Consider the following 12,449-nt stretch of genomic DNA (forward strand, 5'->3'; position numbering starts at 1 on the left):
TGGGTTCCTAAGGCAAGAGACAGTGAGGTTTCTAGGGAGTCTTCTCAGAGTGGAGGCCTGATCCCATTTACCTATCAACATAGGCCAGAGCCAATCAACAGGAAAACTATGGGATTGTTATTGAACCATTATATCACTGCCTAGCATTTATCTTTATTACTAACTCCATGTGGACTTGAAATGATTAACAACATAATCCTTGGATGAAAAGATGTTGTGCCTATCCTTTAGGGAGTCAGCAGGAAGGGGGAGATGAGAAGCATTTTTCTGAGGCCTCTGTTTTCAGAATTGTTGTCCACAATCTGCTCTGGCATCAGAATCACCCTGCTGCCCAATAAAAGGCATCCACAGCTGAGCAAAGGACCTGGAATATGACTTTTTGCCAGGGGAAAACCTAACGTTGGGGGAAAGGGATTCAACTGGGTAGAAAGGGGGCAATAGGGAATTAGAAGAAGAAGAGAATCTTGTGGTGGTTAATTTTATGTATCAACTTGGCTGTGCCACAGTGCCCAGATATTTGGTCAAACATCATTCTGGATGTTTCTGTGAAGGTGTTTTTGGATGAGGTTTACACTGAAATCAGTAAGTTTAATATATCTAGTGTTCCATTATTGGAACGCTAAGCCTGTGGGAGTTATTTATATCCTACTGCTCAAGGTCATTGCCAAGGTCTGATTATTCACTCATACAAAAATTCAAAAAAATTGTATCCTCCAGCATAAATGGGCTAAGAAAAGCAGATAAGCAGATTGCCCTTCATAATGTGAGTGGCCTCATCCAATCAGTTAAAGACCCAAAGAGAACAAAAGCCTGACCTCCACTATGCAAGATGGGATTCTGCATGCAGACAGCTTTTGGACTCAAACTGCAACTCTTTCCTGAGTCTCCAGTCTATAGGCCTCCCCCATTAGATATTGCACTTGCCAAGACTCCACAATTGCATGAGCCAGTTCCTTAAAACAAATCATATATATATATGTGATTATATATAATTTATATTTATATTTATTTATATGTATATATAAATTATATTTATATTTATATTTATAAATTATATTTATATTTATATATACTTTATATTTATATTTATATATTAATTATATACAATCTATATTATATAATTAATATATAATATATATAATCGCCATCCAATGTTCCTGTTCCTCCAAATACAAATTTCTTGACCTAGAGAGACATAGTCCATGGAATCTAATTTGGATCTAAAGAAGAATTAAGGCCTAAACCAACCAAGAGCCCCGTGCTGATGCCCTGACACTCACCTGTGAGGTAATTAAGGAGTCAATCACCAATAGGCCGCAGCTGGTAGCCTAACAACCTTGATGAACAAGTTCAGAGAGAGATCTAAAGCTTTTTTTAAGCAGAAGGAAAGATCAGAATCAACCCTTGGTAACACGAAAGCAGTTTTCAAGAACAGAGAGCTCCTTGCGATGTTGAAGTAAACATTTATAAAGACCTTCCCCCAAATACTGCAATATCAAGAACAGCAAGCTTGAGCTTTATCACAAACCACCCATCAGCTCGGGATTGTGAAATACGCCCTCGCCCAAGTGCCTCTGACAGAAAAGAAATGAGTTCCATTACCAAATGAAAGCGGGGTGGAAATAACAGAATTGCTTTTATTTTGATGGATGATCTAATAAAAAGACATAAAAATGATGAGAAACAATAAAATTAAATCACAAAATACAGTTCTATTTGTTTTGTGCTATGGAGTGGATTCTTACATTGGGTGGAAGGTTGGACTATATAACTTCTAATTTTAGGAAACAGTAAAAAGAAAAAAACGTGATGACAACAGTCTTTCATTGCTAGAAAGCTACTTCTAAGACACTGAAACAGCCATTGCAACAATCATAAAAAGTCACAGGAACCCAAGTAGGCAAAAAAAAAAAAAAAAAAAAGATTTTCCATTCCCTCTGTTCCTGCCTTAGGGAGTTCAAGTCCCCCCAGACATTTCTCTCCAACTTAACAGTGTGCGCCAAGGTGGTGCGTCTTAGAATGAAATGGACGTGGTCATTCCAGCCTAATCATTTGCTTAGAGTCACTGAGGGGTAATAATAATGGCTCAGATAAGATTATTGCCACAGTTTCCTTAAATTCACTGAAGGGCAATACAGAATCAATGACAGCCGAGGCTCTACTAGAAACACCTGAGGTGGAACTGGGAGGCAACACGGAAGGAGGAGGTGTTAGCTCAGAGGCACCAGAAGCTCTTCAAAAACCTGCACGTTGTGCACATGTACCCTAAAACTTAAAGTATTAAAAAAAAAAGAAGAAGAAGAACAAGAAGAAGCTGCTACCCCTGATGGAGATGCGCTGCCTCTGAAAGGATCTGCTAAAACTGATTTGGATTCTTCACCACGGCTTTTGATTCGCTTTTTTTCACATTTGACAAGGCTGGCCAAGTTACCTGCCCGGTGCTAAACACCTACCTCTATTGCCTTTTCAATGAGTCCATTTGAAGCTTCCAGGCAGAGCCTTCTAGCTAGAGCTTACCTGCAGAGAAGCCCACAACACACATACATTAAAGTAACATGACGACCGCCTTACGGAATCAACGTTTCTCCAGAAGGGCCACCCGTAATAAAAGAAAGCTCACAATGAATCTCACCACTTTATCAATCAAAAATTCTGGTTCCTCTTACAGGACATTTCTCTCGTGCCAATATTAACTTTTTCAGAGCTAATCAGACCTCAAAATTATTCACTGGGAAGCCTGAGAAGGCCTGGGGGAAGATCTGTGTGTCTCCTCCTCCTCCCCGAAGGCTCACTCAGAAGGCAGGAAGGCCTGCCCCTCCTCCACCCCCTGCCAGTGGCTTTTCTTAGTCTCTCACCCTTCCTCTCTTCTGGCACCTCCTTATCAAATACGTTCTCCCATAGACAAGTCCTGCATATGAAAAAGAAATTATATTGAAATGTGAGCTGACTGAAGAGTTAACTATGACAAAACTGAGTATTGATGCCTGCTCTTTCTTCCGTTACCTAACTATGCATCTTTCCAATTCTTGCCCCTTTTGCTTCTCTATAAAATTCCTCCTATTAGTCTCATCTCCATAGCAGCATCGACCATCATCTCTAATCAGAAAATTCACAACTATACACACACGCCACCCCACTTGCCCTTACCCTCAAACCTCACATTTTCCTATACTTAATTCTAAAAATTGAATTAAAATTAAAAAAGAAAAAAAATATGTTCTCCTTAGCCTCCTCTTCTTTTCTCCAGTTATTTTACCCCTCCCTAGCCATGACTCTCATAGAAGAACACTGAGTGTCCTTCACATTTTTTTCCCATAAAGTATGTTGATACATGAGGTTTCTCCTCGGGAAGAAGAGCAGACTGGTCCAAAGTGGCATAGACAGGAGGGCACAGGATGTAAAGGGCAGGCTTGGCCTCCTGGAAGGAGCCTCCTGGCTCTGCACCTCCTGGCCTCACTCTAGTGGCTCACCTCACTCCCAGAAGCAGGGAGAGTTTGGGCTTCAGTTTCCATTTGTGTTCTTTTTCAAAGATTTAGCAGAAATGATTACTTTCACTATGCTTTCGGGTTCCTGACCACATTCTGCCTCCTCCAAGGAATATCCTACAGAAAAATGTTATATATCTATTTATTAATTTTTATTAAATATATTTATATATTTTATTTATTTATTTTTTGAGATAGAGTTCAGCTCTTGTTGCCCAGGCTGGAGGCCAATGGCACAATCTTGGCTCACTGCAACCTCCGCCTTCTGGATTCAAGCATTTCTCCTGCCTCAGCCTCCCGAGTAGCTGGGATTACAGGTGCCCACCACCACGCCTGGCTAATTTTTTGTATTTTTAGTAGAGACAGGGTTTCACCATGTTGGCCAGGCTGGTCTCGAACTACTGACCTCAGGTGATCCGCCAGCTTCAGCCTCCCAAAGTGCTGGGATTACAGGCGTGAGCCACTGCACCTGGCCGGAAAATGCTATATTTAAGCAGCTGCAATATTACAGCTAACAGGAAAGTCACAGGTTTTCTAAGATGACAAGAACAGTACTTGAAAGCTTCTGCCAATATTCCTTCTGTTAGTCCCCCTCCTCACACTTATCAAAGTCCACTAGTACCCAATGTGCTGACGTTCTCACAAGAAGGCATCACCAAAGAAAACCTACCTGTGCTACCCTCAAAATCTCAAACAAACCATGCTCTTTTGGGGTTTGGGAATCCACTGTCACTGAACATTAACTCCAATAGAAATATGTGTATAACTAGAGACAAAAATAAAGAAAAGGTGCTGGAGATGGATGTAGTGAGTGGTGAGGGGAATAGATGTCCCCTAATGGAACAGGCCCCCCTTGTAAGGTATGAAGTCTTCCTTGTTAGAGATCTTCAGGTGGACCCTGGATCCACCTGCAAAATATTTTAAGGAAGCTCTAGGCCAGGTGCAGTGGCTCACACCTGTAATCCCAACACTTTGGGAGGCTGAGGCAGGGAGATCACTTGAGGTCAGGAGTTTGAGACCAGCCTGGCCAACATGGTGAAACCCCGTCTCTACTAAAAATACAAAAATTAGCTGGACACAGCGGCACATGCCTGTAATCCCAGCTACTTGGGAGGCTGAGGCAGGAGAAACGCTTGAACCCAGAAGGTGAGGTTGCAGTGAGCCGAGATCGCGCCACTGCACTCCAGCCTGGGTGACACAGCAAGACTCCATCTCAAAAAATATATATATTTTAAGAGAGTTCTATACTGATGAACTTTGACCTCAGTGACTGCTGTGGTCCTTTGTTCATCTGACTCCCAAACTGCTGCCTGGAAACAGAAAACAGGAGGCAGAGGAGGAAGCTGTACTCGGGCCTTGCCCCCATGCCCTGGCCACATCTGCTGAAGAAAAAGTGGAACAGGGCTCAGGGTTCCCATAGTGTTTCTGATGCCGGCTCCACAAAGAGCAAAGTTAATGTGTCATCTCATCCATGCCTCTTCTCGGTTTCTTCTCTTACTTTTCTCTGACGTCTGTAACTCTATTATCATAGCCAGGGAAATGCGAAGACTAAGGAGGAAATTACCACATTGGCACACAACAGTCCCCAAAACGGGTAAGTGAATGACTGTGTTTACCTTTTGTTTCTTCCATTTCTCTTGATTGTACTACTGGATATAATGACCACTACTTCTCACAAAATCTCTACTTTATACCAAAGCAAGAGGATCTATCACTACACAAATGCATTACAATTACTTTGAAAATCATATGGAGATTTAAATATCTATATGTTGCATACTGGCATATAATTGAAGCTGTACATTCTGAGGACCTCTTTAGCAAATGCACCTGTTTTCTTCCCTTCCACTCTTGCTAATGTATACAGTGCACTTTCCCCATCCCAGTGGTTTTAATTCCATTCATATTCAGATGAGTCCCAAACTGAAATCTTCAGTCCTGATGTCTCTAAATACTCATGTCCTATGTCCAACCACCATTCAGTTTTAAAACTACTCCGTTAAGTTTATGAGCAAGGAATTTAATTGGGCTGAAACGGGGCAACAAGGAATTAGAAAATAGAGAGAATCTTCTAATAGTTAAATTTTATCTATCAGGCTGGGCACAGTGGCTCATGCCTGTAATCTCAGCACTGTGGGAGGCCAAGGCGGGGGGATGGCTGGAGGCCAGGAGTTCCAGACCAGCCTGGCCAACATGGCAAAACCCCATCTCTACTAAAAATACAAAAATTAGCAGGGCATGGTGGTGTGTGCCTGTGGTCCCAGCTACTCAGGAGGCTGAAACAGGAGAATCACTTGAACCCAGGAGCCAGAGGTTGCGGTAAGCCGAGATCACACCACTGCACTCCAGCCTGGGCAACAGAGCGAGACCCCATCTCAAAAACAAAAAGAATGTATATATCAACTTGGCTTGAGACAGACAGATAGACAGATAGATAGATAGATAGACAGACAGACAGACAGACAGACAGACAGATAGATAGATAGAGCAAGGATGAAAGGGGTAAGAACACACACATACTTATGTATTTATTCAGGTAAATATTCATGTAAATATGTGTATTTACAAGCTACCAGGCATCCCCTTACCTCTGACGGCTTCGTGGTGCATTTTCCTTTTCCTGAACACTCCAAGTCATTTGCGTGACTCTCCCCCGGCACACAGGTGCTGACCTTCACCACCAGAGTTAAGCGCAAAGCCACAATAGACTTAGTCACAGAATCATTCACAAAACCTAAAAGAAAATGAGGCAAAAGGAAATTGTCAAGTGTCTCCTCTTTAAAGGCAGTGTGTTGAAAGCTTTACCAACAGCCTTTCTACAAGACTATGAATTTAGTGTAGGCAGCACTCAAGTCTGACAAAACAAAATGCAGTGAGGCAAGGGAATAAAGCACATGGCCACCATCCACTGAGACCTCAGGACTTTAGGGCAGGCTGGTCCTCCCAAGCCTCATAAGAAACACCTAAGGCCAAGCAAAATCAGCACCAGGCACTTGAGCAACCACCTCAGATCCTTTCGCTTTGCTCCCGCCCTTGCCCTCTGGGGGCTGCTTTGTCTCTCAATCCCATCCCTGTGCTGGCGTCTTAGAATTCAGTTTCTGCTTTGGAACCCCAGTCTTCTACCAGGGAGCAGCTTACCTGCATTACCCAAGTCCTCCTCCTCCTGGCTACTTTGGAGTCACAAATGCTGGAAATCCTCAAAGGCCCCACCCAGTTATCACCTGCCCTAGTCTCGGTCCCCTTGGAGTAGGCATGCAGCATGGGTACAAATTCTCTGTTGGGTTTATTGATCATTGATAAGATATGCATCTTACTTGATCACCAATCTGACTCCACAGTATCAAGTTAAGCCATACAGTTTTAGCCATCTAATAAAATGGGACTAATCATAGTTGAATATGGATTGCAGTATCATTGACACACCGTATTTGTCATTGAATGATCTTTATGTCCTAGAGCAGCTATTCATACATAGTAGGTAGCAATAAATATGGAATAAATTGATGAATAAATATAGCCTCTAACTGGAAAGGAGAAATAAATATTATAAGTATTTTTGCATCAAGGATTAAATTATTTTCACTAAGTGAGCATTTTTTTCTAATATGAACATTCATTTGTATCTAATTTTTAATTTTAAAACAAAATATCGAAATTAATGAATATGATTTTAAAAAGTTTCCTCAGCTCTGTCAAGAGTAAAAGTTAAAAAGCCTCATCATTACAAAGCCACATTCATAGATAGTTTTACAACAAAAGATTTGTAAGACCAAGGGGACTACTAGGAGTCAGTGGGGAAAAGAGAGAGAAAAGAATTGATTCTAGGGCAACTGAAATGAGTTCCATTATCAGGAAAAAGAGTAGGTTTGGATCCCTCACACCTCACACTATACAAAAGTAAATCTAGATGGCTTAAAGAGCTAAATACGAATTAAAACCTTTAAAGTGGCACTATTCACAATAGCAAAGACTTGGAACCAAACCAAATGTCCATCAATGATAGACTGGATTAAGAAAATGTGACACATATACACCGTGGAATACCATGCAGCCATAAAAAAGGATGAGTTCATGTCCTTTGCAGGGACATGGATGAAGCTGGAAACCATCATTCTCAGCAAACTATCACAAGATCAGAAAACCAAACACCACATGTTCTCACTTATAGGTGAGAGTTGAACAATGAGGACACATGGACACAGGGAGGGGAACATCACACACTGGGGCCTGTCAGGGGCGGGGGTGAGTAGGGGAGGGACAGCATTAGGAGAAATACCTAATGTAGGTGGTGGGTTGATGGGTGCAGCAAACCACCAGGGCATGTGTATACCTATGTAACCAAACTGCACGTTCTGCACATGTAACCCACAACTTAAAGTATAATAAAAAATATATAAAAAACAAACAAACAAAAAAACCTTTAAAACTTCAAGTGGAAAATATAGGGGGCTATTTCATTGATCTAAAGATAGGGGATTTATTAAACAAGGGCAAAATAATAACCATAAAGAACAATCAATTTAACTTTACCCGATTTTAAATTATATGTACATAGCTACCATAAAAAAAGACAGTAGACAAGACACAGGCTTGAAAATGAAATTTATAATGCATAAAACCAGCAAATGCTTAGCTGCCAGAATATATGGAGAATTTTTTTGGCAAACTGCTTTTTTCTCAACGTTATTTATACTTATATAAATATTGAAATCTATGAAGCATTAAGAAACGCTGTTACGCATATGTATACATACAGTAAAAGTATACCAAGATGCATGGAAAGAAACACACCAAATTCAGGAAAAGGATCCGGGGAAATAGGGGTAGCCAGGGAGATGGAGCTTCTGACCACCTATATAATATTTTATTTATGTATTAATAATACATAGAGCAAATACCACAAAACACTTATTCGATCTTGTGTACAAAAAAATTATATTCATTTCCATACTTTTATTTTATTTTTAGACGGAGTCTCACTCTGTTGCCCAGGCTGGAGTGCAGTGGTTCAATCTCAGCTCACTGCAACCTCCGACTCCAGGGTTCACATGATCCTCTTGCCTCAGCCTGCCAAGTAGCTGAGATTACAGGCACCTGCCATCACACCTGGATAATTTCTGTATTGAGGCGGGGTGTCACCATGTTGGCCAGACTGGTCTTAAACTCCTGACCTCAAGTGATCTCCCCGTCTTGGCCTCCCAAAGTGCTGGGACTACAAGCATGAGCCACCACATCCAGCCTATAATATTTTATTTCTTTCTTAATAACATAGGCCGGGCATGGTGGCTCATGCCTGTAACCCCAGGATTTTGGGAGGCAGAAGCGCGTGGATCATGAGGTCAGGAGTTCAAGACCAGCCTGGCCAATATGGTGAAACCCCCATCTCTACTAAAAATACAAAAATTAGCCAGGCATGTTGGCATGCGCCTGTAATCCCAGGTACTCGAGAGGCTGAGGCAGAAGAATCGCTTGAACCCGGGAGGCAGAGGTTGCAGTGAGCCAAGATCGTGCCACTGCACTCCAGCCTGGGTGACAGAGTGAGACTCTGTCTCAAAATAATAATAATAATAGAGCAAATTTTGCAAAACATTAAATCTTGTGTACAATGAAATCTTATACTCATTTCCATAGTTCTATGCTTTTTTTTCTTTTGAGACAAAGTCTCACTCTGTGGCCCAGACTGGACTGCAGCGGCATAATCTTGGTTCACTGCAACCTCTGCCTCCCAGGTTCAAGCAATCCTTGTGCCCCAGCCTCCCAAGTACCTGGGATTACATATACGCGCCACCACACCCAGCTAATTTTTGTGGTTTTAGTAGAGACGGGATTTCACCATGTTGGCCAGGCTGTTCTCGAACTCCTGGCCTCAAGTGATCCTCCCGCCTCGGCCTCCCAAAGTGCTGGGATTACAGGCAGGAGCCACCATGCCCAGCCAATTTTATGCATATTTTAAATATTGTGTAACCAAGTTTTTTATTTCGATTATCATAGTTCAGGCATCACAACTTCAAACAGGCTTTAACAGGTTAGGAAAATATTAGTATCCAGAAATCTAGAATACACAGTCCCAAAATGACTTTGTGGTCACCTTCTCTAGACGTTTCCTCACAATTTGTTCTTATAAGTACGTTAAGTTGGCCGGGCGCAGTGGCTCATGCCTGTAATCTCAGCACTTTTGGAGGCCAAGGCAGGTGGATCATGAGGTCGGGAGATCGAGACCATCCTGGTCAACATGGAGAAACCCTGTCTCTAATGAAATACAAAAAAATTAGCCAGGCATGGTGGTGTGTGACTGTAGTCCCAGCTACTCGGGAGGCTGAGGCAGGGGAATCGCTTGAACCGGGAGGCGGAGGTTGCAGTGAGCCGAGATTGCACCACTGCGCTCCAGTCTGGCGACAGAGCGAGACTCTGTCTCAAAAAATAAATAAATAAATAAATAAATAAGTATATTGCATTAAAAAGTAATAATTAACTGGATAGAAACAGAGCCCACGTTGGTTCACCTTGCCTGCATGGTACCTAGCATCACCTCATTAACTGATGGTCACTTGAGAACATGCTGCTTCTATTGACAACAAATTAGCAAAACTTCCCAAATATTTTCAATGTTCTCAATGTTGAAGTCCTTGCACACTAAGGTGTTGCACACTCCTAAAGCCTGTTTTCACAGGTTTACTCAAAGTATTGCTTGACACAGGTTCACTTTTCATACTTTTAAAGAGAAGGATATTTTGAGAAATTTGGCTTAAAAAGTCAGGACAGACTTCCTACATTGTTTCATTTTTCATACTTCTTTTAAAAGTTTTCATAAATGTAAGACTTCTCTCATGGCCTCTCAGCTATTTCTGTTTGTCTTTTCTGTTTGTTTATTATCTTTGGGGAAAGATATAAAAATGATATCACAAATATCTACGATGACTAATAACCCTTCTGAAAACAGATTGAGCCTCTAAAAATTTAATAGGAAGTGCCCACATTAAGTAAGTATATATAGGCCAGGCACAGTGGCTCACGCCTGTAATCTCAGCACTTTGGGAGGCAGAGGCAGGTGGATCACCTGAGGTCAGGATTTCAAGACCAGCCTGGCCAACACAGTGAAACCCCATCCCTACTAAAAATTTAAAAATTAGCCAGGCGTGATGGTGAGCACCTGTAATCCCAGCTACGTGGGAGGCTGATGCAGGAGAATCACTTGAACGCAGGAGGCAGAGGTTGCAGTGAGCCAAAATCGTGCCACTGCACTCCAGCCTGGGCAACAAGAGTGAAACCCCGTTTAAAAAAAAACATAAATAAGGAAGGGCGCAGTGGCTCATGCCTGTAATCCCAGCACTTTGGGAGGCAGAGGTGGGCAGATCACGAGGTCAGGAGTTCAAGACTAGCCTGGCCAACATAGTGAAACCCCATCTCTACTAAAAGTACAAAAAATTACCGGGCATGGTGGTGGGTGCCTGTAATCCCAGCTACTCGGGAGGCTGAGGCAGGAGAATAACTTGAACCCGGGAGGCGGAGGTTGCAGTGAACGGAGATTGCACCACTGCACTCCAGCTGGGTGACAGAGTGAGACTCCATCTCAAAAAATAAATAAATAAATAAATAAATAAAATAATAAGTATGTATATACAAATATATGTAGTGTGTGTGCATTTTATGAACATGTAATATAGACGTGTGTGGAATACATATACGTAATTTAAAGTACAGTCATACAATGAAGATTACTGAGCAGAATGGATCTTAAAAAATTTTGAACCAAACAACCACCTTTGAGAAGGCTGTGAAGAGCCTCTACCTTCTAGGGTAAAAGCAGGACTGTCTATGGGACAGGCAGTGCATGCTTGAGGGACCACTCTGGAAGCCCAGTGAACCTCGCAGCCATGATTCAGGGAAATGCAGACGGTCCTTGAGGCAGTCCTGAAGTCCTGAAGGATGGAATTAACCTACAGGCAGGTGTTTCAGGCTGAGATGGTAAATGTTTGGCCCAATAATATTAAATCTGTAGAACCATTTGCTTCCTCTGAAAGAAATCTGGAGGGTGCTGCTATGGTTTGGCTGTGTCCCCACCCAAATTTCATTGTGAATTGTTGTTCCCATAAGCCCCACGTGTGGTGGGAGGGATGCAGTGGGAGGTAGTTTAATCGTGGAAATGGTCACCCTCATGCTGTTCTCCTGATAGTGAGCGAGTTCTCATGAGATCTGATGGTTTTATAAGGGGCTTTTCCCCCTTTTTCTCAGCACTTCTACTTGCTGCCACCATGCGAAGAAGGACATGTTTGCTTCCCTTCCACTATGTTTGTAAGTTTCCTGAGGGCTCCCAATCCCTGCGGAACTGTGAGTCAGTTAAATCTCTTTCCTTTACAAATTACCCAGTCTTGGGTATGTCTTTGTAGCGGTGTGAAAACTGACTAATACAGGTGGGGTTCTCTTAAATTGGGATCCATACCATCATCTGCCTATACTGTTTTGTGTGGCTTTGGAGCTTCAAAAAGCTAGGCCTGGACTATGGGAGGAGAGGAGCCAGACCCCATCTTCTCCTTTGTCTGGCCAGAGGACTATAAAAAGCTATTATCCCGGGCTTGCGACAAGGCCACCTGGATGAAATCAATTGCTGTGGCCATGTGCTTTGGAAATGCACCAATGCATGAAGAACCACCAGGGTTACATGGCTTCTCAGCTCATCCAGGCCATCGCATCCTAGAGGTGAGGGAGAGTAGATACCCACCATCTACCATGCTAAATGGGGGCCATCCTAGGGCAAAAAATAAAGCAAGCTTTGAATTGAAGAGCAAAAGGAATCTGTACACTCTGAATGGGATTCTGATGTGCAATGATTCCTGGAGATCCCTTTAGTGCCAGGGGATTGGCACAAATCTGATGAGGTCCTCTAGCTCTCAGAACTGCTTCCAGTAGCTGTGGTCAATTGATCTCTGGGTTGTACTTGTGTGTTTCCTGGGCATTCAGTCAAGT

At 42.4% G+C, this 12,449-nt stretch overlaps 1 protein-coding gene across 1 annotated transcript in view; it reads right to left on the bottom strand.

The window, feature by feature from the left end:
• DNER (delta/notch like EGF repeat containing) overlaps positions 1-12,449 on the bottom strand; it is a 356,927-nt gene that overhangs the window by 183,245 nt on the left and 161,233 nt on the right. Inside the window, exon 5 of the mRNA NM_139072.4 lies at positions 6,074-6,219. Coding sequence (NP_620711.3) covers positions 6,074-6,219 — 146 coding nt within the window. The remainder of the gene's footprint in view (positions 1-6,073; positions 6,220-12,449) is intronic.

The sequence above is a fragment of the Homo sapiens genome, chromosome 2 (assembly GCF_000001405.40).
Source record: "Homo sapiens chromosome 2, GRCh38.p14 Primary Assembly".
Classification (NCBI taxonomy): Eukaryota; Metazoa; Chordata; class Mammalia; order Primates; family Hominidae; genus Homo; species Homo sapiens.